General features: G+C 34.8%; 1 protein-coding gene across 3 annotated transcripts in view; it reads right to left on the bottom strand.

Annotated features, from left to right (window-relative positions):
* The window catches only part of HTR2C (5-hydroxytryptamine receptor 2C), a 325,976-nt gene that overhangs the window by 53,388 nt on the left and 244,903 nt on the right, over nucleotides 1–27,685 (bottom strand). For 2 of the 3 annotated variants that reach the window (NM_001256760.3, NM_000868.4), the window contains one exon: nucleotides 8,471–8,671. In NM_001256760.3, the coding sequence (NP_001243689.2) occupies nucleotides 8,471–8,671 (201 nt within the window). The remainder of the gene's footprint in view (nucleotides 1–8,470; nucleotides 8,672–27,685) is intronic. The other variant, NM_001256761.3, reaches the window with a different exon arrangement.

Genomic DNA, 27,685 nt, shown 5'->3' with positions numbered 1-27,685 from the left:
GAAAATGAGAAGTACAGGAAGAGCGCATCTTCTGCATACTGATATAAGATGGTTGCTTTGATACCAGTACCATGCTGTTTTGGTTACTGTAGCCTTGTAGTATAGTTTGAAGTCAGGTAGTGTGATGCCTCCAGCTTTGTTCTTTTGGCTTAGGATTGACTTGGCGATGCGGGCTCTTTTTTGGTTCCATATGAACTTTAAAGTAGTTTTTTCCAATTCTGTGAAGAAAGGCATTGGTAGCTTGATGGGGATGGCATTGAATCTGTAAATTACCTTGGGCAGTATGGCCATTTTCACGATATTGATTCTTCCTACCCATGAGCATGGAATGTTCTTCCATTTGTTTGTATCCTCTTTTATTTCCTTGAGCAGTGGTTTGTAGTTCTCCTTGAAGAGGTCCTTCACATCCCTTGTAAGTTGGATTCCTAGGTATTTTATTCTCTTTGAAGCAATTGTGAATGGGAGTTCACTCATGATTTGTCTCTCTGTTTGTGTGTTGTTGGTGTATAAGAATGCTTGTGATTTTTGTACATTGATTTTGTATCCTGGACTTTGCTGAAGTTGCTTATCAGCTTAAGGAGATTTTGGGCTGAGACGATGGGGTTTTCTAGATATACAATCATGTCGTCTGCAAACAGGGACAATTTGACTTCCTCTTTTCCTAATTGAATACCCTTTATTTAAAATGTTCAATAATATGTATAGAACAGTCACTCTAACAGGACTGCCTACAGGACTGTAATTTACCTTCATCCTTTGTACCATGAAAAAGTTTCTCTTGTATGGAAAAAAATTATAAAGAATTTAAACATACCTGTTTGGAGAAAGAAAACTTAGACCTGATTTTCCAAAATATCTTCATGTTTAAAATATATGTACAGCTTTGGTAAAAAAAAAAAAAAAAAAAAAAAAAAAAAAAAAAAAAAAGATGGTTGCTTTGAGAAAAAGTACCTATGCAATTGTTAGAGTTGCAAGATTAACTAGCCATGTATTTTTTCATAGACTAACATCTTTACTTGACTGTTAGACACACTAGAGTTATTCAGACTTGGGTATTTGGCAGCTACTTTCTCAATAATGGATGACTTGAGCCTGTCAAGTTAAGCAAAAAATAGATGCTATTTGCTGCCAATGATAAAATCTGAGGTTTCAAGTGAATAATGTAATTTTTGGAAAATGTCTATTCATCTCTGGGAGATTGAACTTTCCCAATATCTTAAGATTTTTCCATTAAGGTTGATGAAGATTATCAACGTATATGATTTTTGACATTGTATAGTGAAATATACCAACATTGAGAAAATATGTGTAACTCGGTGAACCAATATTTTCTTAATGACCTATGCCTGATGTTACAATATAAATCATGGGTAAAATATCCATGTGAAGTACTGAAGTAAAGTATTCATTTGAAATATCCATTTCTAGATACATTAGTGGATTTTAATGTAACAGTATATAAAAAAGTCAGTGATTTGGTTTCTGATTGTACATTGCCACAGAACTTAAGAAACTACTACTTGCAGAGTTTTAGTGCACTGTCAAATAAGAATGACCGCAATTATCTGAACCACAGCAAATTGTTGCAATAAATTGGATGAAAAAAACAGAGATGAGAATCTAGCTATCTTCTATTAAGTCAGATGATTAAAGCACCTTGAAAAACTGTAAAACATTTCTCTAACGATTAGTGACATCGAACATTTTCTTCATATGCTTGTTAGCCATTTGTATGCCTTCTTTTGAAAAATGTTTGGTCATGTCTGTTCCCCAGTTTTTAATGGGGTTGTCTTTTGTTGTTGTTGAGTTGTTTGAGTTCCTTATAGACTCTGGATTTTAGTCCCTTGTTGGATGTATAGTTTGCAAATATTTTTTCCCATTCTGCAGGTTATCTGTTCACTCTGTGGATTATTTATTTTCTGCATAGAAGTTTTTTAGTTTAAATCCCATTTGTCTATTATTGTTTTCGTTGTTTGTGCTTTCAAGGTCTTAGTCACGAATTTTTGCCTAGGCCATTGTCCAGCAGAGTTTTTTCCTAGGTTTTCTTCTAGTGTTTTTGTAGTTTCAGATATTACATTTAAGGATTTCATCCATTTTGTGTTAATTTTTGTATATGGTGAGAGGGATGAGAAATTATTTAATGGGTACATTGTACGTTACCGAGTCATGGTTACACTAAAAGCCCAGGCTTCACCACTATACTCTATATTCATATATCAAAACTGCACTTGTACCCCCTAAATTTATAAAAGTCAAAAAAAGAAAAAACTAAAACAATGTCACTCTTCTTGTTGATTTTGTTTTGGAAAATATAGCTTTTTTTAATAGAGCTAATTATTTATGTTAACATGTAATGGATTTACTATTGTTATTTTAAATAAATGTAGACAAAAATAATTTAAAATTTCAATTTTAATTTCAAAGACATTAAATGCTGATGGATATAGCTCATATAAAGGCAAACTCTCTGGAATCCTTAATAATGTTTGAGTATACAGAGATCACTAGACCAAAAAGTTTGAAAATTCATAAATTAAACAATTAAGTAGTCACTAGTGAATGCATAGAAGACAGATTTGGTTTGTGGTAAAGCTAAAAAATTGATTCTTATGAGATACATTATAAATGTTGATAAGGAAGACATGAGAGTGACATATAGGTTTGGCAGTAAAGTTTGGAAGACAGAGTGGCCACCACCTAAATTAGTATACAGATTAGAGAAAGCATTTTTAAAATTCAGTTGTTCATTTTTTCTTAAATTAAATTATAAATTTAAGGAGATCCCTGTCAAAATATCCAGGCTTTTAGAATAGAACAAGGCAAGTTAATGTTAACGTTAATATGGAAAATTAAACTTTCAGTAATGTCTACACAAGCTCTAAAAAATGCCTAATGAATAGGGACTAACCATATCAGATAATAACATTTATGTAATAGCATTTATAATTAAAAGTGTGAAATTGGCATTTGATTAGACAGTGTAGTGGAATAAAATGTGAACTTCAGAAACATGTCCAGGCATATAAGAATATTTAATATACTATAAAGATGGCATCTCATATCACAGGACAGATGGACTTTTTAAATAAATAGCATGAGACAATGGAAGAATTAGTTTTAAGAGACTAAAATTGAATGTGTATGTCACAACGTACAAGAATAAACTCCAAATGTATCAGAGGTCTAAATGTAAAAATGAGAAAAATATGTGTGATTTATTGTCCAACCTGAGTTAGGGGAAAGAATTTGTTGCCATTACTCTCAACATAAAAAGGAAATCTGATTGACAAGATGAACTACATGAAAATAAAATAATTTTGTATGGCAAAATACCATAGCTATATCAAATAGCAAACAGAAAATATTTTCATTTATAACATGTTAAATGGTTAGTGTCTATAACTTATAAAGAGCTATTAAATTAAGAAATAAAAATGAAAAAAAATCAGAAAAAATGAGCAAAAGGACACTTAAAACTGATTTAGCAATGGCACTGAAGTGGTTTTCATACATTTAATCATATGAACTTCAGCCAAATAAAATAGATGCAAATTAAAATTACACTGAGGTAACATTTCTCACTTATGGGATTTGCAAAATCTAAAAAGTTTGAAAATAAACTTCATTAGCAAGGCTTTGGGGAAACAGAGGCTTTCTTGCATTGCTGGTGGGAATGCAAAATGGTTCAACTCCTAACTACATGTACCCTTTGATCAATCAACTCCTCCTCTAAGAATTTATTTAGAAGATAAATTCTGAATACATTTGAGCAAGAATTTATTTAAAAGTTAAACTTCCAATAATATGAAACACACACATGCACGCGCGCGCGCACACAAACACACAAGACAGACACACATGCACGCACGCACACACAAAGGACACACACACACACACACACACACACACAATTATTCTTAGTAGAATTATTGGCAACTTCCAAATGTTGGAAACAACTTACCTGATTATACACAGAAGATTGGTTAAATAAAGTATATCAACACAATCTATTATTAGTGAGTGTAAAAAATAATAGAATGAATTTAGCTTTTAATTGGAGTATTTAGGCCATTTACATGATAAAGTTGGGTGCATATCTATCATCTTACAAATTGATAGAGTGATTTCCAGGACATATTTCCAAGTAAAAGAACAAAGCAAAACAAAGTATTAATTTGTATGTAGCATTTTAACTTTTAATTTAAGAATGGAAAAATAACAATACGTGTATTTGTGTATAATCTTTTTTTTTTTTGCAAAAATAAATTCAAGAAGTATGCCCTAGAAACTAATGAATGGGTTAACCACGGAATAGAAGAGGAACTGACTCTTCTCTGAGTATTTTATTTGCCTAGTTTTGACTGTTGGAGCATCATATTAAAGTTTTACATATTAAAAAATAAAGTCAACAAGGTTGGGGAATACATGCAAAAACAAAACAAAATCCCTAAATGTGAACAATTGGTATCAGAACCACAGAGAAAAAAAATTCAAACTAATCCTAGCATTTTGAAGACAATGCTTTGACTATATGCCATTGGTGGAAAACATTCTAAAGATAAAATTGCAATGAAATTTTAAACATTGCATTTCATTTATTGGTAGTGGTATGGGTATAGAAATTCTGAAATTAATTTCTTGTATGGTAGGATATAGAAAATATAAATAATAAATATATCAATGGTTTGGGGACAAAGTTACTCACTGTGAGAAAAATGAGGAAAAATAAAGAATTGGAAAGTAGCAAGAGTCCTGTGTTCGTGAATTGGGATTAAAGGTATTGATATATAGGAGCAATGATATCCTATTAGCAATGAGCATACTGAGCTTCTGCATCCTGCTTTATAAAACCATTGCCCACTAAAAGGGTTTCTTGTAAGAAATGGCTAATTTCGGAACTGGGGCATGGAAAGTAAAAGGTGAGTCTGGCAAATGCTCAAAAGCTGATGGGATATATGAAAAGGAGTTCTTATTAGAAAAATATGAGACAATTTGAGCATCAAAATAATTAAGGGCAATAATGAATCATATATATTACACTGAATACAAAAGAATCCAGGAGTCTCCACCAACATGAACTAATAAATAACAAAGACTTGGAGGGAAAACACTTCCTTACAGTATAATACCAACAAATAAAGGCAGGAAGAATAATAAAATGAGAAAAATTATCATTGTATCACCTTAGTAATAGATAGCTTAGGGAAGAATCATCAATGGATTTGAAATCCATTAGGTCAAAGTTTATTGGGAAACAATTTCTTAATTTCCAAATATACGAAGGTTTTTCTACTATTTTGAAGTCATTTCTATTTCTTTTGAATTTCAGTCAAAGAATAAACAATTTATTCCAACCCTTTGGAATGTGTTGAGGAATTACTTTATGGTCAGTTTTGATAAATATTTCTTGTGCAATGATGGGAATATGTATTCTTCACTTGTCAGTGAGTTCAGGTTTGTTAATTGTTTTCATACAATCGCTGAGAAGGATGTGCTAAGATCTTATGCGATGATTGTAGACTTGTCTATCTGTCCCTGAAGTTCTGTCCTCTTTTACTTTATAATGTATATACTATGTATATTACATATGTATCTACATATAATTATGTACATACAAATTTATTACCTTATGTCTTCCAGATGTATTAAATCTTTCATAGTAAGTAATCTTCTTTCACTGGAGTATTTGTTTTTTGCCGAAAAGTCTATTTTGACAAATATTAATATAGCTATACAGTCTTTCTCTTGGATAGTGTTTAGATGGAGGAATTTTTTTGTTTGTTTTTATCCTTTTACTTTCTTTATGCTTTATATATGCCTCTTGTAACATATAGTTGTCTTATTTTTTTGAAAGCCTATATGACAGTCTTAGAATCCTTAGTAATTCATATAATTAGGGATATATTTGGTTTTAATTCTGCCATTCAGTATACGTTTTATATTTTTCTATCTTTTATTGACTCCTTTTGGATTTATCTTATTATTTCATTTTATCTTTTATTTGTAGAGACAAAGTGTTGCTTTCTCATCAAGGCTGAAGTGTCATAGCACGATCATAGCTCACTGCAACCTCAAGACACTTGAGTTCAAGTGATGCTCCTGCCTCAACCTTCTGAGTAGCTAGGGCTACAGGCACATGCCACCATACCCAGCTAATTTTTAATATTTTATAATAATCTTCTGTAAATTTGGAAATTCGCCATCTCTAATCTGCCACAGAGTTCTTAGGTTTTCATTTTTTAATTAATTAATTTTTTTTGTGTGTGTGACAGAGTCTCACTCTGTTGCCCAGGCTGGAGCGCAGTGGCATGATCTCAGCTCACTGCAGACTTGACCTCTGAGGGTCAAGTGATCCTCCCACCACAGCCTCCCAAGTAGCTGGGATTACAGGCGTGTGCTACCATACCTGGCTAATTTTTGTATTTTTAGTAGAGATGGGGTTTCATCATGTTGTCCAGGCTAGTCTTGAACTCCTGGCCACAAGTGATCCGCCTGCATCGGCCTCCCAAAGTGCTGGAATTACAGGTGTAAGACACTGCCTGGCCCTTAGTTTTTCATATTATGCTTAAGTTCCATATTTTCTAGGTGTTTCTCAAATCTTAATGTCATTTGTTATAGTTTGCAGTTTCTTGCTGAAGTGTTTAAGATCAGCATGTAATTTCCATGTGCACATTCCAAATGATTATTTAAAGTGTATGTCTGATAATTCAATTATCTGAAGTGTTTGTAAGTTTATTTCTGTTATCTCTTATTGTCCCATACCTGATTCATGTTGTATTGTCTCCTCATATATCTGCATATCATTGTATTTCAGTGACAGCATTTGAAAATTATTGAAAGAAATAAGTTGAAATCTAGGATTATGGGGTTTTTTTTGTTTGTTTATGCCCCAAAATTGGAAACCTGAATAATACGAAATCATCTTAATCCAATTTTAAGGCCCAAGATTTCTCTCATTTACATAGATGACTTGAACCAGGGCTGAATTCCATGTCTATGGTGATTTAATCCTGGTCGATCCTTATTCCTAGTGTCTGGTTTTTTTGTGATCCCAGAATTAAATTCAGGTTGGTTGGCCCTTGCCAGACTCTGTATTCCTACTCTAGTCCTCCATTGCTTGCGAGTCTGAAATGATCGTCTCCACCTGTCAGTCATATCTTCAGGTTTATAATGCATCATTGGCAAAAGTGAACTAGAAGTCATAATCATTTTTCTTGGGTTTTTGTCTTTTTCTGGATCTTAGCCAATAGCAATTTCTATTTCATTAGCTTCTTAGGGCTTTTAGTGTTTTATCCATGTGTTTATTTGCCTTTAGCACAAGAGTCATTGCAAATTACTCAGTCTTTCATTACTAGAAGCTGATGCAACAATATTCTGTCTGTGTATTTCCTTTGTAAGCACCATAAAAGCTGGCATCTTTTTAGATGAACTCTTTGTGATGGCTAGGGCAAAATCTGTGAACTCTTGAATTTGTAAGTCAAACTTACGTAAATTCATTTTTGTCTTTTGGGACAAGCTTCACGACTTTTTATTCAAAGGTGTCTATGCTATACACAGGCAGAACAATCTACAATAGAACAATCTTAAAACTTAAATGTATTTGATCAATAAACCCAGAGTCAAAATATTTAGATGATATTAGTGAAGATTAAATAGAAGTCTTGATCTTGTTGCACACTTTACCTCAATCTTTACAAAAACATAAATATGAAGAAAAATTATTTACACCAACTGGAAAAGGAAAAAAACATGAAAGTAAAACCCCTAAAGTCCAATTGTTTAAATTTCTTGGCTTTAATATTAGCACTGTTAAGGCATTTATGAATACCTCAAATATAAGCAATAAATGATCATTTCTTTCCCTTTAAACTGCTACAAATCTTTAAAGAAACAAATTTTTTTTTCTTTTTGTATACCCAGAATTCAAGAAGACAATTAAAACTGAGAGAAAATAGTACATTTTAGGTGTCATAGCAACAAAAATTTAGACATATTTACTTGATGATGATTTAGATTGCATTATTAATTTTTCTACTGAAAAGGATAGGAATTTAGAATAAAAATACTAAGGTTAATATTCTGGGATACATGTAACTTTTCAATATAAGATTGAAATGTTATATTTTTAAAATTTAGACTTTAATTAGACTTTATGTCTTTCTCATTTTCAAAGCATTTTAAATATTTCAAACATTTTGTATCTGTGTTGCAGAATTCATTGGCATACTAATGCATAAAATAATTTAGCAGCATAAATGGAAACTTTATATTTACATATTAATACACATTACATTCCTTTCATTATTGTTAACCTAAATATCAGATAAATAGGTTAAGAATAATTACTAAATAAAAGAACCCGATCAAACGCAAATGTTACCAGTCGACGTCTGTACGTTGTTCACAGTACATAATCCGAAAGTATTGAGCATAGCCGCTGCAATTCTTATGGCCAAAAAGTTTTATTTACCTATAGAAATTGCCCAAACAATAGCAATCTTCATGATGGCCTTAGTCCGCGAATTGAAACGGCTATGCTCAATAGGATTACGTATTGCTACATACCGATCCAGCGATATAGCGCAGAGGTGCATGATGGACGCTGTTGAAAATAAAACATCTAAAGAAATCCAGACGGGGCACAAATATCTAGGTAGTGGCCAGACATAATCTGAAAGAGAACAGAGAGAAGACAAGAACACGTCATCCAAATTGTACTGACTATAGTCTCAAATTTTAGTCTGCTTATATTTTCTCATAATCTAAACCTTTTAAAGAAAGTGAAATTTAGGAAGCATTATTTTCTATAGGGATGATGATGGTGATCATGATAATGATACCTTCAGCGTGACATATATTTTATTGAGGTAAAATTTACACAACATAAAATTAATCTCTTTAAAGTGTACAATCCAATGGCATCTAGTACATTCACAATATTGTGCAACTAGCATCTGTCTCTAGTTCAGAAACATTTCATCACTCCAAAAGGAAACTGCATACCGTTAAGCAGTTACTTCCCATTCTCCCATCAACCAGCTCCTGGCAATCTCTAATTTGCTTTTTATCTTTTTTTTTTAATTATTATTATACTTTAAGTTTTAGGGTACATGTGCACAATGTGCAGGTTAGTTACATATGTATACATGTGCTATGCTGGTGTGCTGCACCCATTAACTCGTCATTTAGCATTAGGTATATATCCTAATGCTACCCCTCCCCCCTCCCCCCACCCCACAACAGTCCCCAGAGTGTGATGTTCCCCTTCCTGTGTCCATGTGTTCTCATTGTTCAATTCCCACCTATGAGTGAGAACATGCAGTGTTTGGTTTTTTGTCCTTGCGATAGTTTACTGAGAATGATGATTTCCAATTTCATCCATGTCCCTACAAAGGACATGAACTCATCATTTTTTATGGCTGCATAGTATTCCATGGTGTATATGTGCCACATTTTCTTAATCCAGTCTATGGATTTAACTAATTTGGATATTTCATATAAATAGAATCATACAATTTGTGACTTTTTGGGTCTGGCTTCTTTCACCTAGCTAATGTTTTTGAGGTTTATCTATTTCGTAGCATGTATCAATACTTAATTCTTCTTTGTGGCTGATGCTGTTATCAATTGAGGTTTTTTTGGAAGCTGTTGTAAATAGAATTGTTTTCTTAAATTCTTTCATGGATTGTTCATCACTGTGTATAGAACTACAAATGTCCTGCAACTTTGCTGAATTCATTTATTAGAGCTATGTTTTGTGTTGACTCTTTGGGATTTTCCATATATAAGATCATGTCTTCTGCAAATAGAAATAATTTGATTTATTCTTTTCCAATTTTCCTCTGCCTTTTATTTCCTCTCTTTGCCTAATTTCTCTACATGGAATTTTCAGTACCATGATAAATAGAACTAATGAAGTTGGGCATTCTGCCTTTTTTCCCTGATCTTAGAGGAAAATCAGTCTTTCACTATTGACTGGGTTTTGTTTTTGTTTTTTATAAATGCCTGTCAAGGACATTTTCTTTTATTCCTAGTTTGTTGAACATTTTTTTATCATAAAAAAGTGATGGACTTTTGCAAATGCTTTTTCTGCATCAATTGACATAATCATGTGGTTTGCATACCTTCATTCTATTAATGTGATACATTACATTGATTAGTTTCTGTATGTTGAATCCCTCTTGCATCCCTGAGATAAATCCCATTTAGTAATGGGTATATAATATGGTGCTGAATTTAGTTTGCTAGTATTTTATTGAAGACTTTTGCATTTATATTAATAAACAATACTAATCTATAATTTTCTTGTAATGTCTTTAGCTGGCTTTGATATTAAGATAATGCCAGTCTAATAGAATATATTACAAAATGTTTCTTCATCTTCTATTTTTTAGAAGAGTTTGAGAAGAATTGGTGTTAATTTTTGAAATGTTCGGTGAAATTCAAAAGGAAAACTTCTTGTCTTGAGCTTTCATTGTTGAGAGGTATTTGATCACTGATTCAATGTAGTTACTTTTTATATGACTCTTCAGATTATTTCTCCTTGAGTCACTTTTGGTAGTATGTGTGTTTTTAGAAATTTTTACATTTCATCCAGGTTATTTAATTTACTGGTGTATAATTGTTCATTGTATTGTTTTATAATCCTTTTAATTTTTTTTGAGATAGGATCTTGCTCTGTTGTCTGGGCTAGTTTGCAGTGGTGTAATAATGGCTCACTGCAGTCTCAACCTCCTGGGCTCAAGCAATCTTCCTAACTAAGCCTCCTGAGTAGCTAGGGCCACAAACATGTGGCACCATACCTGTCTAATTTTTAAATTTTTTTTTGTAGAGATGGGTTTTCACCATGTTGCCTAGGCTGCTCTTGAACTCATAGGCTCAAGTAATCCTCCCACCTTGGCCTCCCAAGGTGCGAGGATTACAGGCATGAGATACCACACCAGGAGGATTGGCCAGCCAATCCTTTTAATTTCTGTAAGGTTAGTAGTAATACCCCCACTTTCATTTCTGATTTTTGTAATTTGTGTCTTCTCTTTTTTCCTTAGTCTGTCTATCTAAAGATTTGTCAACTTTTTTGATCTTTTCAAAAAAAGGAAAACGTTTGGTTTTATTAATTGTCCTTATATTTTTCCTATTCTTTATTTTTTATATTTCCACTAAACTTCATCATTTCAGTTATTTTGTGAGTTTGGGTTAAACTTGCTCTACTTTTCTAGTTTCTTATGGTATAAAGTTAGGTCATTAATTGAGTTCATTTTATTTTTAAATGTAGCCATTTACAGATATAAATTTCCCTCTGAGCGCAGCTTTTGATGCATCCCATAATTTTTTGGTATATTAAGTTTTTATTCTGCCATTCTCAAAATATTTTTGAATTTCATTTGTATTTTCTTCTTTCACTTATTGGTTGTTTAATATTGTTTAATTTTTGCATATTTGTAAATTTTTTAGTTTTCTTTCTGTTACTGATTTCTACTTTGAATAATAATATTTTAAATGTATTAGGATACTTTAAATAATAATAATATTTTAAATGTATTGACATTTGTTTTGTGGTAAAACTTATGGTCCATCCCAGAGAATGTTCCATGTGCACATGAGAAAAAATGTATTTATTGTTGTTATTAGATGGAATGTTCTGTATCTGTCTGTTAGAATTAGTTGTTTTATAGTGTTGTTCAAGTCCTCTATTTTCCTCATTGATTTTCTGTCTTGTTGTTCTGTCCATTATTGAAAATGGAGTATTGATATCTCCAAATATTATTATAGATCTACCTTTTTCTCCCATTAATTCTTTTATTTTTCACTTCGTATAATTGTTGGGCTCTGTTGTTAGGTACATATATGTTTATAATTGTTATATGTTCTTGATGGCTTGAAATCAATAGATGATGTTCTTCTTTTAGTTGATGTTGTTCACAACAACTATCTTTGTAAGTTCTATTTTGTCTGACAAGTTCAGCCACCTCAACTCTATTTTGGTTACTGTTTGTATGGAATATCTTTTTCCATCCTTTCACTTTCAACATACATGTGTCCTTATGTCTAAAGTGAGTCTCTTATTGAAAGCATATAATTGGATCATGTATTTTTATCCATTTTGCTAGTGTCTGCCTTTTAACTGGAAAATTTAATTCTTTCACATTTAAAGTAATTACAGTAAAGAAAAGACACTTGCACCATTTTATCTATAACATATACTATCATTTTTTTCTGTCACTGCCTTCACTTGTGATTAAGTGATTTTTTTGTGATTAACTGATTTTTTTGTAGGGATTCTCTTCTTGTCTCTTTCTCTTTGTATTATTTTAATTGTTTACTTTGGTTAACCTGGGGATTACAATTATAATCTTTCTTCCATAACAATCAAGTTTTAATTATAGATACTCAGTTTCAATACTATACAAAGATTTTGCTTCTTTACATCTTCATCCTTTTTTATGTTGCTATTGGTCATAAATTACATTTTTTATACATTTGGTGCTCATTAATATAGATTTATAATTATTGTTTTATGTATTTGCCTTTTAAAGGAAATAGAAAGTCAAAACAGGTGTAAGAAACCCATAGTACAATTCCACTGGATTTTATATTTGCTTTGTAGCTACTTTTGTTGTTTTTTATTTCTTTATATGCCTTCAAGGTACTTTTTGGCGTCCTTTCATTTCATCCTGAAGGACTCCCTTTAGCATTTTTTTTTAGGGTAGGTCCACTAGTAATTAACTCCTTCTGATTTTTTGTTTTTGTTTTTGCTCTTTTACCAGGAGTGTTTTAATTTCTCTATTTTTGAAGGATAGCTTTGCCAGATTTAGAGCATTTAGTTGACAATTTTTCTTTCAGCACTTTAAATATGTCATCTCACTGCTTCCGGCCTCCATGGTCTCTGTAGAGAAATTCACTGTTTATCTTGTTAAAGATACTTTGTATTTGATGAGATGCTTGTCTGTTGCAGCTTTTAAGATTCTCTCTTTGCCTTTCAAGAGTTTGATTATACTGCACCTTGGTTTGGATATTTTGGAGTAATTCTTGCTTAGAGTTCATTGAGCTTCCTGGATTTATAGTCATGTCTTTATTCAAAGTTGGAAAGTTTGTGGCCATTATTTCTTTAAATATTTTTTTCTGATCCTTTTAATCTCTCATGTCCCGGAAATCCCATTGTGCATATATTGGTAAACTTGATAGTGTCTCAAAGGTCCCTTAGGCATTGTTCATTTTTATTTATTATTTTCTCTTTATGCTCCTTGGACTGGATAATCACAATTGACCTGTTTTCATGTTCTCTGATTCTTTCTTCTGTCTGCTAAAGTCTGTTATTGATTCCCTCATGTGAATTTTTCATTTCAGTTATTATAATTTTTAGCTGCCATATTTCCATTGTTTTTTGTTTACAATTTTATCCCTTTAATTATATTCTCTATCCCTTGAGACATTGTTCTTCTGGTTTGCTTTAATTCTTACTCCATGGTTTCCTTCAGCTCTTTGAGTACATTTGAGACAGTTGATGTAAAGTCTTTGTCTATTAAGTCCAATGCTTGGGCTTCCTCATGATCAGTTTCTATTCTATTTTGTTTTCTGAAAATAGGTCATATTTCCTAGTTTATTTGCATGCTTTTTAATCTTGGTAAAACTTGGACATCTTAATATTACAATGTGGCAGATCTGTAAATCAGATTTTCTTCCCTTCCTGAAGTTGTTGCTACTTGTTTTGGACTGATTTTGTTTGACTGTTTAGTGATTTTTCAAAACTATTTTTATAAAGTCTGTTTTCTTTTTTCTTGGTCTTCTGTGGCAGCTAAAATCAGCATCCTGTTAGTTTGGTGGTTACCTAGCACTTTTACAGGGGTTTCTTAAATACCGGTAGGCAAAGAAAAAAAAGGAATGAATGCTTTCTTACTTTTTGCAGGTTGGGTCTGTTTGGGACCTTCCTTCAATGCTTAATGAGGTTGTTTATAACTCTGCCTCAGCCTCAACTTTATACTTCAGCAGAATCTCAGAGGCTGATGGACAGCCCGGTCACAGGTGGAAGAATAGTGTCTTTCCAGGCTTCTTCTGAGCATTCTGACATCCTTAGGCACGCCATGTGTAGCTTTTTCCATTCTCTGTTATATTTGAGTTCCTTAAAAATAAAGTTTTCTTTCCCAACGTATCTCCATTCCCAACCTCTTTCTTCCCAGGCCATTCAGCCTGTTTCTTGTTTGTGTGGTCTAGTGTTACTTGTCCTAGTCTGTTGCAAACAATGCTTGTGCCTTTTAATACTTTTGGCAAACTCCAACCAGAACATCATCTGAGCCCTGGAAATGCTCTGAGTCAGGCAAAACAAAGGAAGTTACTGTCCCAGTCCTTCAGGGGGCCATCAGAGAAGTCTAAAAAGACAAGCACATTTCTTTGAGGAAAAGATCTGTATTTCTTTGGCACTAGCAACTTGCATCAGGAGTGCAGGCTTTCATCCTCAAATTAGCTGCATATCTGGAAATGGGATATGGTAGCAGGCAGCTTAAAACCCTACAGTGCTCCCTTACTGCAAAGCAGTGGGTTTCTTCTTCATTTAGCATTACCTTGTTTGTTTTAAATTTTTGATTTGATGTTTGAGTTTCATAATAGTTGATTCTGACAACTATTTCCAGGTCATTTTCTTGCTCTTTTGGAGAGACAGAACAATAAAGTTCCTCCTCATATAAATTACTTTAACGTTACTTATTTATTCCTTAATTTACCCTATGTTAGCTATTTGTTTTCTATATGCCAAACATTTTGTTAGATACTAGAAGTAAAGATTAATAAGTGGCAGAAACTCTTGTTATTTTTACTTTTAACAGTTACCAGATGAATTACTGTTGCCATTTTCATGATAGTCTCTGGTGTGGCATTAAGTCTGACTTTGAGCTGGTGCCGAAATTAGCAGAACATTTCAAGTAAAATTTTTTTTTTTTTTTGAGACGGAGTCTCACTCTGTCACCCAGGCTGGAGTGCAGTGGCGCAATCTCCCCTCACTGCAAGCTCTGCCTTCCGGGTTCAAGCCATTCTCCTGCCTCGGCCTCCCAAGTAGCTGGGACTACAGGTGCCCACCATCGCTCCAGGCGAATTTTTTGTATTTTTAGTAGAGACAGGGTTTCACCTTGTTAGCCAGGATGGTCTCGATCTCCTGACCTCATGATCGGCCTGCCTCGGCTTCCCAAAGTGCTGGGACTACAAGCATGAGCCACTGCGCCCAGCCGCAAGTAAGTTGTTTTTAACATTGGTGTTCTTACTTGAAAACTTGAGATCTAAACTATTTTCAGTAGTGTTAAAGTTTCCATATTGGAGCATCATTAAAAGTTTAAAGTTTTTGTAATGACATTGGCATCTAGAATCTAGCAACTGAATCAGGCAAAAAACCAACTTGTAAATCTGCTGTTGGTGAATTGTTTTACGATGTGTCATATTCTAGTCTGCTGGAGTTGTTAGTGAGAATTATCTTAGATACTGGGCTCTTCTCCTATGCAACCTTAGTAGGCATGACTACCTTACAGGATAAATAAACAATTCAGAATCTTGTTTTCTTGGGGAAGTAAGGAAAAGTAAGGTGAAATGTGGCTGTTGAAATATTCTGGAAGGTTAACCAGCATCCTTCCTTTGGACATTTTTGGTTTCTTCCAGAATGGGCTGAAGGATATGTCAAGATACAGACTGATGAACTGGTGCTTCATTCTTGATAATAATGAAGCAGCGATCAAACCCCTCTACTTTTAATGTGAACATTATTGTCCATTAGTAAGAGATCTTGTATAACTCATTGTTCTTTTATAATACTCTTGTTTAGGTTGGCGACATGCTCAACCTTCACCAGTATATAACAAGTTCTTAGATGTCTATTAAAGGCAGTAAAATTGCCATTTTTTGTTTTTTCCATTATAAATGGTGCTGCTTCAATCTATATGAATTATTTATACATATTTGGATAGTAAAATTTTCTTAGATTAATCATCAGAATTTATACTTATGATGCTTGGTATTTGCTGAGCTTCATGAGTCTATAAACTTACGGCTTTCACCAAATTTGAAAATTTTTCAGTCCTTATTTTTTTGCAAATAGTTTTTGGTCCCATTTTCCCTCTCATTCTCTGGGTCTCAAATCACATGCATGTTAGAGCATTTGATATTGTTTCACAGATTCCTGAGAGTCCATTCTTTTTTTTCTCAATGTGTTTCGCTCTGATCTTAATTTCGGACGATTTCTATAGATCTATCTTCAAATGCACTGGCTTTTCTTGTCTGTCATCTCCATTATACTGTTAAACTCATCCAGGATAATTTTATATTTCATATATTATTTTTTAGCCCACAAATTGCCATTCAATTATTTTTGTTGTTTTTATTTATCTTCTGAGGTTTTCCATTTTCAATAATTATGAGCATATTTTCTTTGATGGTATTGATATAAATATAATAGCAGCAATAAAATCTTTCTCGGTGAATTTTAACATCTGGGTATTCTCAGGATAGGTCTCTTAAAAGTTGTGTGTGTGTATATATGTGTGTGTGTTAGTGTGTGTGTGAATGAGTTGTCTTTCCCTGTTTCTTCTTAAAGTAAAATATTTTAGATTGTAAACTAAACATTGTGAATGCCATGTCGTTGAGATGCTGGATTTGGTTCTTTTGCTCCAAAGAGTATTGGTGTTTTTGTTTTTGTTTTTGTTTTTCCAGCAATCAGCTTGGTTGGACTCAAACTGCAGTCTCTTTCATTTGGGCTACAGCTCAAATGTCAATTCAGTTCATTTATCATTTCTTAGGTTGCTTGTAGGATATCCCAGGCAAGCACGGTTTAAATGTCATCTAGAGATTTAGGCAGAGTTTATAGTTTCCCAGAGAAGAATTTGTGGTTCTCTCTATCTTTACCTTTTCCTAGGTGCTCCTTCACCTTCCAGTTGCAAATTCCTCAGGTTCTTCAGGCCATAAAAACTGAAGACTTTTTGTTTTGTTTTGTTTTGTTTTGTTTTGTTTTGTTTTTGAGACAGGATCTGGCTCTGTCACCCAGGCTGGTGTGCCGTGACACTATTTCAGCTCACTGCAATCTCCACCTCCCAGACTCAAACAATCGTCTTATCTCAGCCTCCTGAGTAGCTGGGACTACAGGCACCAGCCACCCTGCCTGGCTAATTTTTGTATTTTTTGTAGAGATGGGGTTTTGCCATGTTGCCCAGGTGGGTCTCTAACTCCTGGCCTCAAGTGATCCACCTGTCTTGGCTTCCCAAAGTGCTGGGATTACAGGCATAAGCCCCCACACCCAACCAAAAAAACTAAAGATTTTTTTATTGGAGTTTTAGCCACCTCTTCTGGCAGAAATTGCATCTTCCTCTTAAGCTATAAGTCTTGAAAGTTGGAAACTCAACCTCTGTTGTTTCTTTTTTCCAAGTGTTGTGATTGCCAATATCTCTGTTTTGGATTCCTGTCCAATACCTTAAGGTAGTTGTTCTTTGTGTTTTGTTCCAAGTTAGTAGCTTTTATTTGCCAAAAGGTTAACAATAGAAGTGCTTATATGGCCATACTAGAAATCAAACTACCAATTATTAGAATTCAACCAGTGCAATAAGGAAAGGAAATACATCATGAGAAGTTCTTCTAACCAAAAGTTCATTATTGTTCATCATTTTCCTATAACTCCCTCAGATTGTATCCACCATGGAAGTTGATCATGTGGAGGGTTTTTGTATTCTCCTTGACATGTTTCACTTGCAGAAATTATGTTTCCAATTGTGCTTCAAATGCACAAGTATATCCTGATTATCACTATGTGGAGAATTCTGTTGCCATAACCATTAGAACATAAGCTCCATTGGGTCAGTAATTATTGTTTATTTTTCCATTATCCATAGAGCATAGAACAATGTGTGGAATTATGTGAGCCAGCAATATTTTATACAATTAATATGTAAAAGGTTTGAAGGGAGTTGAATAGCCAAGAGGCTATAGCACACTTTCCATAGGGGAGGCCAATTCATAGTTGAGTGAAATGAAATCTTATTTTCAGGGGAAAAAATTGTGTATAGTGCTTCATAAGACATTTTTATATGTTTGTTCATTCATTCAAATGTTACATGATTTTTAATGACTCCAGCAATCACAGGTATCCCCACCAATAATAAAAAAAGGCAAAGACTGAATACAAGACATTAATCTTTCAGCTCTTCTGTTCAAAGAAAATACAAAAGGACTTTATTTTCATGAAGTAATGTAGACAATTTTTGCCTTTGAGAAAAGAATAAAAGTTCAGTATTCTGATAATTTAATTAAGATGTATGGGAATGTGGGGACAACTGTGAAGTAATCCCAAAGCTAGCACTTGGAAACAAAAAATTATAATCAATCTCTAAGTTAACATATATGAAAAGATGAATAGCCATGAAAGTTTAAAAATTCCTCAACACATTTTATAAAACAATACAGTGTCAATAGCAAAACTTGAAAAACACTAAAACAGGAGACTAGAGAAAATAGCATTCATTATTATAGATTCAAAGTTCAAAATAAAATATTAACAAATAAAGCCCAAAAAAGTACCAAAAGAATAACACATCAGAAAAAACAAGAGTTCTTCCAGGAATGCAAAGGCGATTTATCATCATGAAATCTACCAATATAATCCCTGATATTAGCATTTGTGAAGAAATTTTTGGTCTTTTAATAGATATTGAAGAGTAATTTGATTAAATACAGAAGCCATTCCTAATTAAAATTTTAATAATGAAGGGATAAAGGCAGTGCCCTTAATTTTGATAAAGATAACTTACTAAGAACCTACAACAAATATTATAAATAGCAATACAATAAATGTATTTCAATTACATTAAATTTAGAAATTGGACAAGATGCCAGTTTACCCCATTACTCATCATTATGTTATTAATTTTCACTATGATAAGAGTATAAACTAACTTGTATAACTTTGGAAAACAAGGTATAAAATGATCTCTTGTTTATCGGTGATTTTTTTTTTTTGACTGTAGGACTAGCGAATCTGAGACTCTTCTAAAAACTATGCTGGATTTACTGAGAGAATATAATAGTCTGGCTGGATACAAGATAAATATAAAATAATCTAGAGGTTTAACTAGTCCAAGAACAAGTGCCAGAGATAGAAAAAGGGAAAATAGTCTATTTGCAACAGTGACAAAATTCATTAAAAATCTTATTAAAACTTTAACAAGATAATTACAGGTCCTACATGAAAATACAATCACAAAACCTGCACACGTACTCTCTTAATTTAAAATTAGAAAGATTAAACAGCAACAACAAAATAACCACCAAATCTTATGGAAAAATATAAATCTACATCTAAAGAGATATTATATCATACTATATTCTTTGGATGGCACAATGTAGATCCAAATGTATTTACTTGTGATATCAACTATGTAAGAAAAAAATAACATCAACCATACACAGATTCTTTGAATAAATAAGGGGATTATTTCCCAACATACTTCATGAGGCCAGTATAACTTTGAAAATAAAGCTTGAAGATGTATCACAGTAAACAAATAAGGAGAAAATTATGTGAGTAAGTCAATGTAGGCACACATTTTTAAATATAACTCAACGTAGTTCAAGTTGAATAAATTTCAGCAAACTAAGATTCTAACTTTCTTAAACTAAAGTATGTCTCTCAAATATTTAATAATTAAATGTTGGAAAAAAACAAGAAAGTCTACCATCACAACATCCATTGTGCATTGTACTAGAGTTACTTATTACTGTGTTATGAAAGTAAAAATGTTCAGGACTTAAAAGGAAAAATGAAAACATGATTGTGTACATAAAAAAATTTACAGATAAATGTTGAGCATTAACGAGTTTAGAAAGGTTGTTGTATATAAAGTCAATATCTGAAAAAAATCAATCAATTTTGTTTTCATAAAACAACATACAATGATAAAATGACATGTTTTAAAAAGTTACCGAGGGGGAGGAGCCAAGATGGCCGAATAGGAACAGCTCTGGTCTACAGCTCCCAGCCTGAGCGATGCAGAAGACGGGTGATTTCTGCATTTCCATCTGAGGTACTGGGTTCATCTCACTAGGGAGTAACAGACAGTGGGCGCAGGTCAGTGGGTGCACGCACCGTGCACGAGCCGAAGCAGGGCGAGGCATTGCCTCACTTGGGAAGCGCAAGGGGTCAGGGAGTTCCCTTTCTGAGTCAAAGAAAGGGGTGACAGACACACCTGGAAAATCGGGTCACTCTCACCCGAATACTGCGCTTTTCCGACCGGCTTAAAAAACGGCGCACCACCAGATTATATCCCGCACCTGGTTTGGAGGGTCCTACGCCCACGGAGTCTCGCTGATTGCTAGCACAGCAGTCTGAGATCAAACTGCAAGGCGGCAGCGAGGCTGGGGGAGGGGCGCCCGCCATTGCCCAGGCTTGATTAGGTAAACAAAGCAGCCAGGAAGCTCGAACTGGGTGGAGCCCACCACAGCTCAAGGAGGCCTGCCTGCCTCTGTAGGCTCCACCTCCGGGGGCAGGGCACAGACAAACAAAAAGATAGCAGTAACCTCTGCAGACTTAAATGTCCCTGTCTGACAGCTTTGAAGAGAGCAGTGGTTCTCACAGCACGCAGCTGGAGATCTGAGAACGGGCAGACTGCCTCCTCAAGTGGGTCCCTGACCCCTGACCCCCGAGCAGCCTAACTGGGAGGCACCCCCCAGCAGGGGCACACTGACACCTCACACGGCAGGGTATTCCAACAGACCTGCAGCTGAGGGTCCTGTCTGTTAGAAGGAAAACTAACAGACAGAAAGGACATCCACACCAAAAACCCATCTGTACATCACCATCATCAAAGACCAAAAGTAGATAAAACCACAAAGATGGGGAAAAAACAGAACAGAAAAACTGGAAACTCTAAAAAGCAGAGCGCCTCTCCTCCTCAAAAGGAACGCAGTTCCTCACCAGCAATGGAACAAAGCTGGATAGAGAATGACTTTGATGAGCTGAGAGAAGAAGGCTTCAGACGATCAAATTACTCTGAGCTACGGGAGGACATTCAGACCAAAGGCAAACAAGTTGAAAACTTTGAAAAAAATTTAGAAGAATGTATAACTAGAATAACCAATACAGGGAAGTGCTTAAAGGAGCTGATGGAACTGAAAACCAAGGCTCGAGAACTACCTGAAGAATGCAGAAGCCTCAGGAGCCGATGCGATCAACTGGAAGAAAGGGTATCAGCAATGGAAGATGAAATGAATGAAATGAAGTGAGAAGGGAAGTTTAGAGAAAAAAGAATAAAAGGAAACCAAAAAAGCCTCCAAGAAATATGGGACTATGTGAAAAGACCAAATCTAGGTCTGATTGGTGTACCTGAAAGTGATGGGGAGAATGGAACCAAGTTGGAAAACACTCTGCAGGATATTATCCAGGAGAACTTCCCCAATCTAGCAAGGCAGGCCAACGTTCAGATTCAGGAAATACAGAGAATGCCACAAAGATACTCCTCGAGAAGAGCAACTCCAAGACACATAATTGTCAGATTCACCAAAGTTGAAATGAAGGAAAAAATGTTAAGGGCAGCCAGAGAGAAAGGTCGGGTTATCCTCAAAGGGAAGCCCATCAGACTAACAGCGGATCTCTCGGCAGAAACCCTACAAGCCAGAAGAGAGTGAGGGCCAATATTCAACATTCTTAAAGAAAAGAATTTTCAACCCAGAATTTCATATCCAGCCAAATTAAGCTTCATAAGTGAAGGAGAAATAAAATACTTTACAGACAAGCAAATGCTGAGAGATTTTGTCACCACCAGTCCTGCCCTAAAAGAGCTCCTGAAGGAAGCGCTAAACATGGAAAGGAACAACTGGTACCAGCCGCTGCAAAATCATGCCAAAATGTAAAGACCATCGAGACTAGGAAGAAACTGCATCAACTAACGAGCAAAATACCCAGCTAACATCATAATGACAGGATCAAATTCACACATAACAATATTAACTTTAAATGTAAATGGACTAAATGCTCCAATTAAAAGACACAGACTGGCAAATTGGATAAAGAGTCAAGACCCATCAGTGTGCTGTATTCAGGAAACCCATCTCACGTGCAGAGACACACATAGGCTCAAAATAAAAGGATGGAGGAAGATCTACCAAGCAAATGGAAAACAAAAAAAGAAAAGCAGGGGTTGCAATCCTAGTCTCTGATAAAACAGACTTTAAATCAACAAAGATCAGAAGAGACAAACAAGGCCATTACATAATGGTAAAGGGATCAATTTAACAAGAAGAGCTAACTATCCTAAATATATATGCACCCAATACAGGAGCACCCAGATTCATAAAGCAAGTCCTGAGTGACCTACAAAGAGACTTAGACTCCCACACATTAATAATGGGAGACTTTAACACCCCACTGTCAACATTAGACAGATCAACGAGACAGAAAGTCAACAAGGATACCCAGGAATTGAACTCAGCCTTGCATCAAGCGGACCTAATAGACATCTACAGAACTCTCCACCCCAAATCAACAGAATATACATTTTTTTCAGCACCACACCACACCTATTCCAAAATTGACCACATACTTGGAAGTAAAGCTCTCCTCAGCAAATGTAAAAGAACAGAGATTATAATAAACTATCTCTCAGACCACACTGCAATCAAACTAGAACTCAGGATTAAGAATCTCACTCAAAACCGCTCAACTACATGGAAACTGAACAACCTGCTCCTGAATGACTACTGGGTACATAACAAAATGAAGGCAGAAATAAAGATGTTCTTTGAAACCAACGAGAACAAAGACACAACATACCAGAATCTCTGGGATGCATTCAAAGCAGTATGTAGAGGGAAACTTATAGCACTAAATGCCCACAAGAGAAAGCAGGAAAGATCCAAAATTGACACCCTAACATCACAATTGAAAGAACTAGAAAAGCAAGAGCAAACACATTCAAAAGCTAGCAGAAGGCAAGAGATAACTAAAATAAGAGCAGAACTGAAGGAAATAGAGACACAAAAAACCCTTCAAAAAATTAATGAATCCAGGAGCTGGTTTTTTGAAAGGATCAACAAAATTGATAGACTGCTAGCAAGACTAATAAAGAAAAAAAGAGAGAAGAATCAAATAGACACAATAAAAAATGATAAAGGGGATATCACCACTAATCCCACCGAAATACAAACTACCATCAGAGAATACTACAAACACCTCTACGCAAATAAACTAGAAAATCTAGCAGAAATGGATAAATTCCTCGACACATACACTCTCACAAGACTAAACCAGGAAGAAGTTGAATCTCTGAACAGACCAATAACAGGATCTGAAATTGTGGCAATAATCAATAGTTTACCAACCAAAAAGAGTCCAGGACCAGATGGATTCACAGGCGAATTCTACCAGAGGTACAAGGAGGAACTGGTACCATTCCTTCTGAAATTATTCCAATCAATAGAAAAAGAGGGAATCCTCCCTAAGTCATTTTATGAGGCCAGCATCATTCTGATACCAAAGCCGGGTAGAGACACAACCAAAAAGGAGAATTTTAGACCAATATCCTTGATGAACATTGATGCAAAAATCCTCAATAAAATACTGGCAAAACGAATCCAGCAGCACATCAAAAAGCTTATCCACCATGATCAAGTGGGCTTCATCCCTGGGATGCAAGGCTGGTTCAATATATGCAAATCAATAATTGTAATCCAGCATATAAACAGAGCCAAAGACAAAAACCACATGATTATCTCAATAGATGCAGAAAAAGCCTTTGACAAAATTCAACAACCCTTCATGCTAAAAACTCTCAATAAATTAGGTATTGATGGGACGTATTTCAAAATAATAAGAGCTATCTATGACAAACCCACAGCCAATATCATACTGAATGGGCAAAAACTGGAAGCATTCCCTTTGAAAACTGGCACAAGACAGGGATGCCCTCTCTCACCACTCCTATTCAACATAGTGTTGGAAGTTCTGGCCAGGACAATTAGGCAGGAGAAAGAAATAAAGGGTATTCAATTAGGAAAAGAGGAAGTCAAATTGCCCCTGTTTGCAGACGACATGATTGTATATCTAGAAAACCCCATTGTCTCAGCCCAAAATCTCCTTAAGGTCATAAGCAACTTCAGCAAAGTCTCAGGATACAAAATCAATGTACAAAAATCACAAGCATTCTTATACACCAACAACAGACAAACAGAGAGACAAATCATGAGTGAACTCCCATTCACAATTGCTTCAAAGAGAATAAAATACCTAGGAATCCAACTTACAAGGGATGTGAAGGACCTCTTCAAGGAGAACTACAAACCACTGCTCAAGGAAATAAAAGAGGATACAAACAAATGGAAGAACATTCCATGCTCATGGGTAGGAAGAATCAATATCGTGAAAATGGCCATACTGCCCAAGGTAATTTACAGATTCAATGCCATACCCATCAAGCTACCAATGCCTTTCTTCACAGAATTGGAAAGAACTACTTTAAAGTTCATATGGAACCAAAAAAGAGCCCGCATCGCCAAGTCAATCCTAAGCCAAAAGAACAAAGCTGGAGGCATCACACTACCTGACTTCAAACTATACTACAAGGCTACAGTAACCAAAACAGCATGGTACTGGTACCAAAACAGAGATATAGATCAATGGAACAGAACAGAGCCCTCAGAAATAACGCCGCATATCTACAACTATCTGATCTTTGACAAACCTGACAAAAACAAGCAATGGGGAAAGGATTCCCTATTTAATAAATGGTGCTGGGAAAACTGGCTAGCCATATGTAGAAAGCTGAAACTGGATCCCTTCCTTACACCTTATACAAAAATCAATCCAAGATGGATTAAAGACTTAAACGTTAGACCTAAAACCATAAAAACCCTAGAAGAAAACCTAGGCATTACCATTCAGGACATAGGCATGGGCAAGGACTTCATGTCTAAAACATCAAAAGCAATGGCAACAAAAGCCAAAATTGACAAATGGGATCTAATTAAACTAAAGAGCTTCTGCACAGCAAAAGAAACTACCATCAGAGTGAACAAGCAACCTGCAAAATGGGAGAAAATTTTCGCAACCTACTCATCTGACAAAGGGCTAATATCCAGAATCTACAATAAACTCCAACAAATTTACAAGAAAAAAACAAACAACCCCATCAAAAAGTGGGCAAAGGACATGAACAGACACTTCTCAAAAGAAGACATTTATGCAGCCAAAAAACACATGAAAAAATGCTCATCATCACTGGCCATCAGAGAAATGCAAATCAAAACCACTAGGAGATACCATCTCACACCAGTTAGAATGGCAATCATTAAAAAGTCAGGAAACAACAGGTGCTGGAGAGAATGTGGAGAAATAGGAACACTTTTACACTGTTGGTGGGACTGTAAACTAGTTCAACCATTGTGGAAGTCAGTGTGGCGATTCCTCAGGGATCTAGAACTAGAAATACCATTTGACCCAGCCATCCCATTACTGGGTATATACCCAAAGAACTCTAAATCATGCTGCTATAAAGACACATGCACATGTATGTTTATTGCGGCATTATTCACAATAGCAAAGACTTGGAACCAACCCAAATGTCCAACAATGATAGACTGGATTAAGAAAATGTGGCACATATACACCATGGAATACTATGCAGCCATAAAAAATGATGAGTTCATGTCCTTTGTAGGGACATGGATGAAATTGGAAATTATCATTCTCAGTAAACTATCGCGAGAACAAAAAACCAAACACCGCATATTCTCACTCATAGGTGGGAATTGAACAATGAGATCACATGGACACAGGAAGGGGAATATCACACTCTGGGGACTGTTGTGGGGTGGGGGGGAGGGGGGAGGGATAGCATTGGGAGATATACCTAATGCTAGATGATGAGTTAGTGGGTGCAGCGCACCAGCATGGCACATGTATACATATGTAACTAACCTGCACAATGTGCACATGTACACTAAAACTTAAAGTATAATAATAAAAAAAACAAAAAACAGCACTCTCCATAAAAAAATAAAATAAAGTTTATCTCTTTAACTCTTAAAAAAAATAAAATAAAATATAAAGAAACTAAAAAAAATAAATAAATAAAAAAATAAAAAGTTACCAATTAAAAGTCTTTCAGGTCTGGCAAAACTGAAGTAAGCACATTTCATCCTATCTCTCCTATAGATTACAACTAAAACCTGTGCACATATACCCAAAACAAGTAACTGAGGTATGTGAAAAATAAATAACAGCAGACTAATTGGGCAAGACAATAAAAGTTAAACAATGACCAATAAAAGAATTATTTTCCTTTCCCTTCCCACTTCCCTTACCTCCTGGCTTAGATTTTAGTACGGCCCGAAATCTTCAAACTGTGTAGTGGATGTGCAGAAAGAAACCTCCAAGAAAAATACTGTCTTCCCAGGGGACAAGAGGACAGGCATAAAACAGAGAGATTTCTTTGCTTCACTTTTTCTATCCTGGCATAAAAGGAGGCAAGCATCGATCATTAAATTGCCCATCTATAGTGGCAACACCACTATACACCAGGAGCTCTGCAGGCAACTAAAATTTTGAAAGTTAGGCCATGTTCATGGATTGGAACATTTAATATTGTTAAAATGGCAATACTTTTCAAAGTGACCTACAGATTTAATGCAATCCCTATCAAAACCCTAATGTGTTTGTTGGCAGAAATGGAAATGCTAATCCTAAAATAAATATTTAATCTTAAGGGATCTCGAATAGCCAAAACAATCTTGAAAAGGAGAAAAAAATTTTAGGACTCAGAATTCCCAATTTCAAGATTCACTGGAAAGCTATTATAATCAAACAATGTGGTACAAGTATAAGGATAGACATAGATTAATAGAATAGGATTGAGAGGCCAGAAATAAACCTATTTATCTGCAGTCAGCTGAGTTTTACACTTGTGACAATACCTTCCAATGGAAAACAACAGTCCCTTCAACAAATAATGCTGGGAAAATTGCATGTAGATATCACGTGCAAAAGATTGAAGTTGAACCCTCACCTCACAACATACACAAAATTTAACTCAAAATGGTCCAAAGATCCAGATATAAAAACCAAAGGTACAAAACACTTAGAAAAGGACACAGGGGTAAATCTTAGTGACCTTGGATTTGGCAATGGTTTCTTAGATATGACACCAGTAGCATTAGCAGAAAAGATAGAAAAATTGGACATCATTAAATTAAAAATTTTTTCTGCATCAGAGTGCTATCAGAAGAGTGTAAAAACAGCCCACAGAATGCAAGAAAATATTTGCAAATAAAAAATGGGTAAGGAACTTGAATAGACATTTCTCCAAATGAGATATACAAATGGCCAACAAGCATATGAAAATATGCTCAGCATCATTAGTCATTAGAGAAATATAAATGAAAACCACCATGAGAAACCACTTCACTCCCACCAGGTTGACCGTAAACACAAAACCAAAAACAAAATGAGAAATGTCAAGTCTTGGTGAGGATGTGGAGAAAAAATTGGAAACCTCATACATTGTTGGTGATAAAGTGAAACGGTGCCGTCACTGTGGAAAACAGCTTGTTAGTTCCTTTAAAAGCCAAACACGGAATTACCATATGACCTAGCAATTCTATTTATAGATACTCAAGCAAGTATTTGACATGACTCTTTATAGTGGTACTTTTCACTATAGCCAAAAGGAGGAAACAACCC

This window comes from Homo sapiens, chromosome X, assembly GCF_000001405.40.
Source record: "Homo sapiens chromosome X, GRCh38.p14 Primary Assembly".
Classification (NCBI taxonomy): domain Eukaryota; kingdom Metazoa; phylum Chordata; class Mammalia; order Primates; family Hominidae; genus Homo; species Homo sapiens.
Note: the sequence above shows the minus strand (reverse complement) of the source record. Positions and strands in the feature narration are given on the sequence as shown.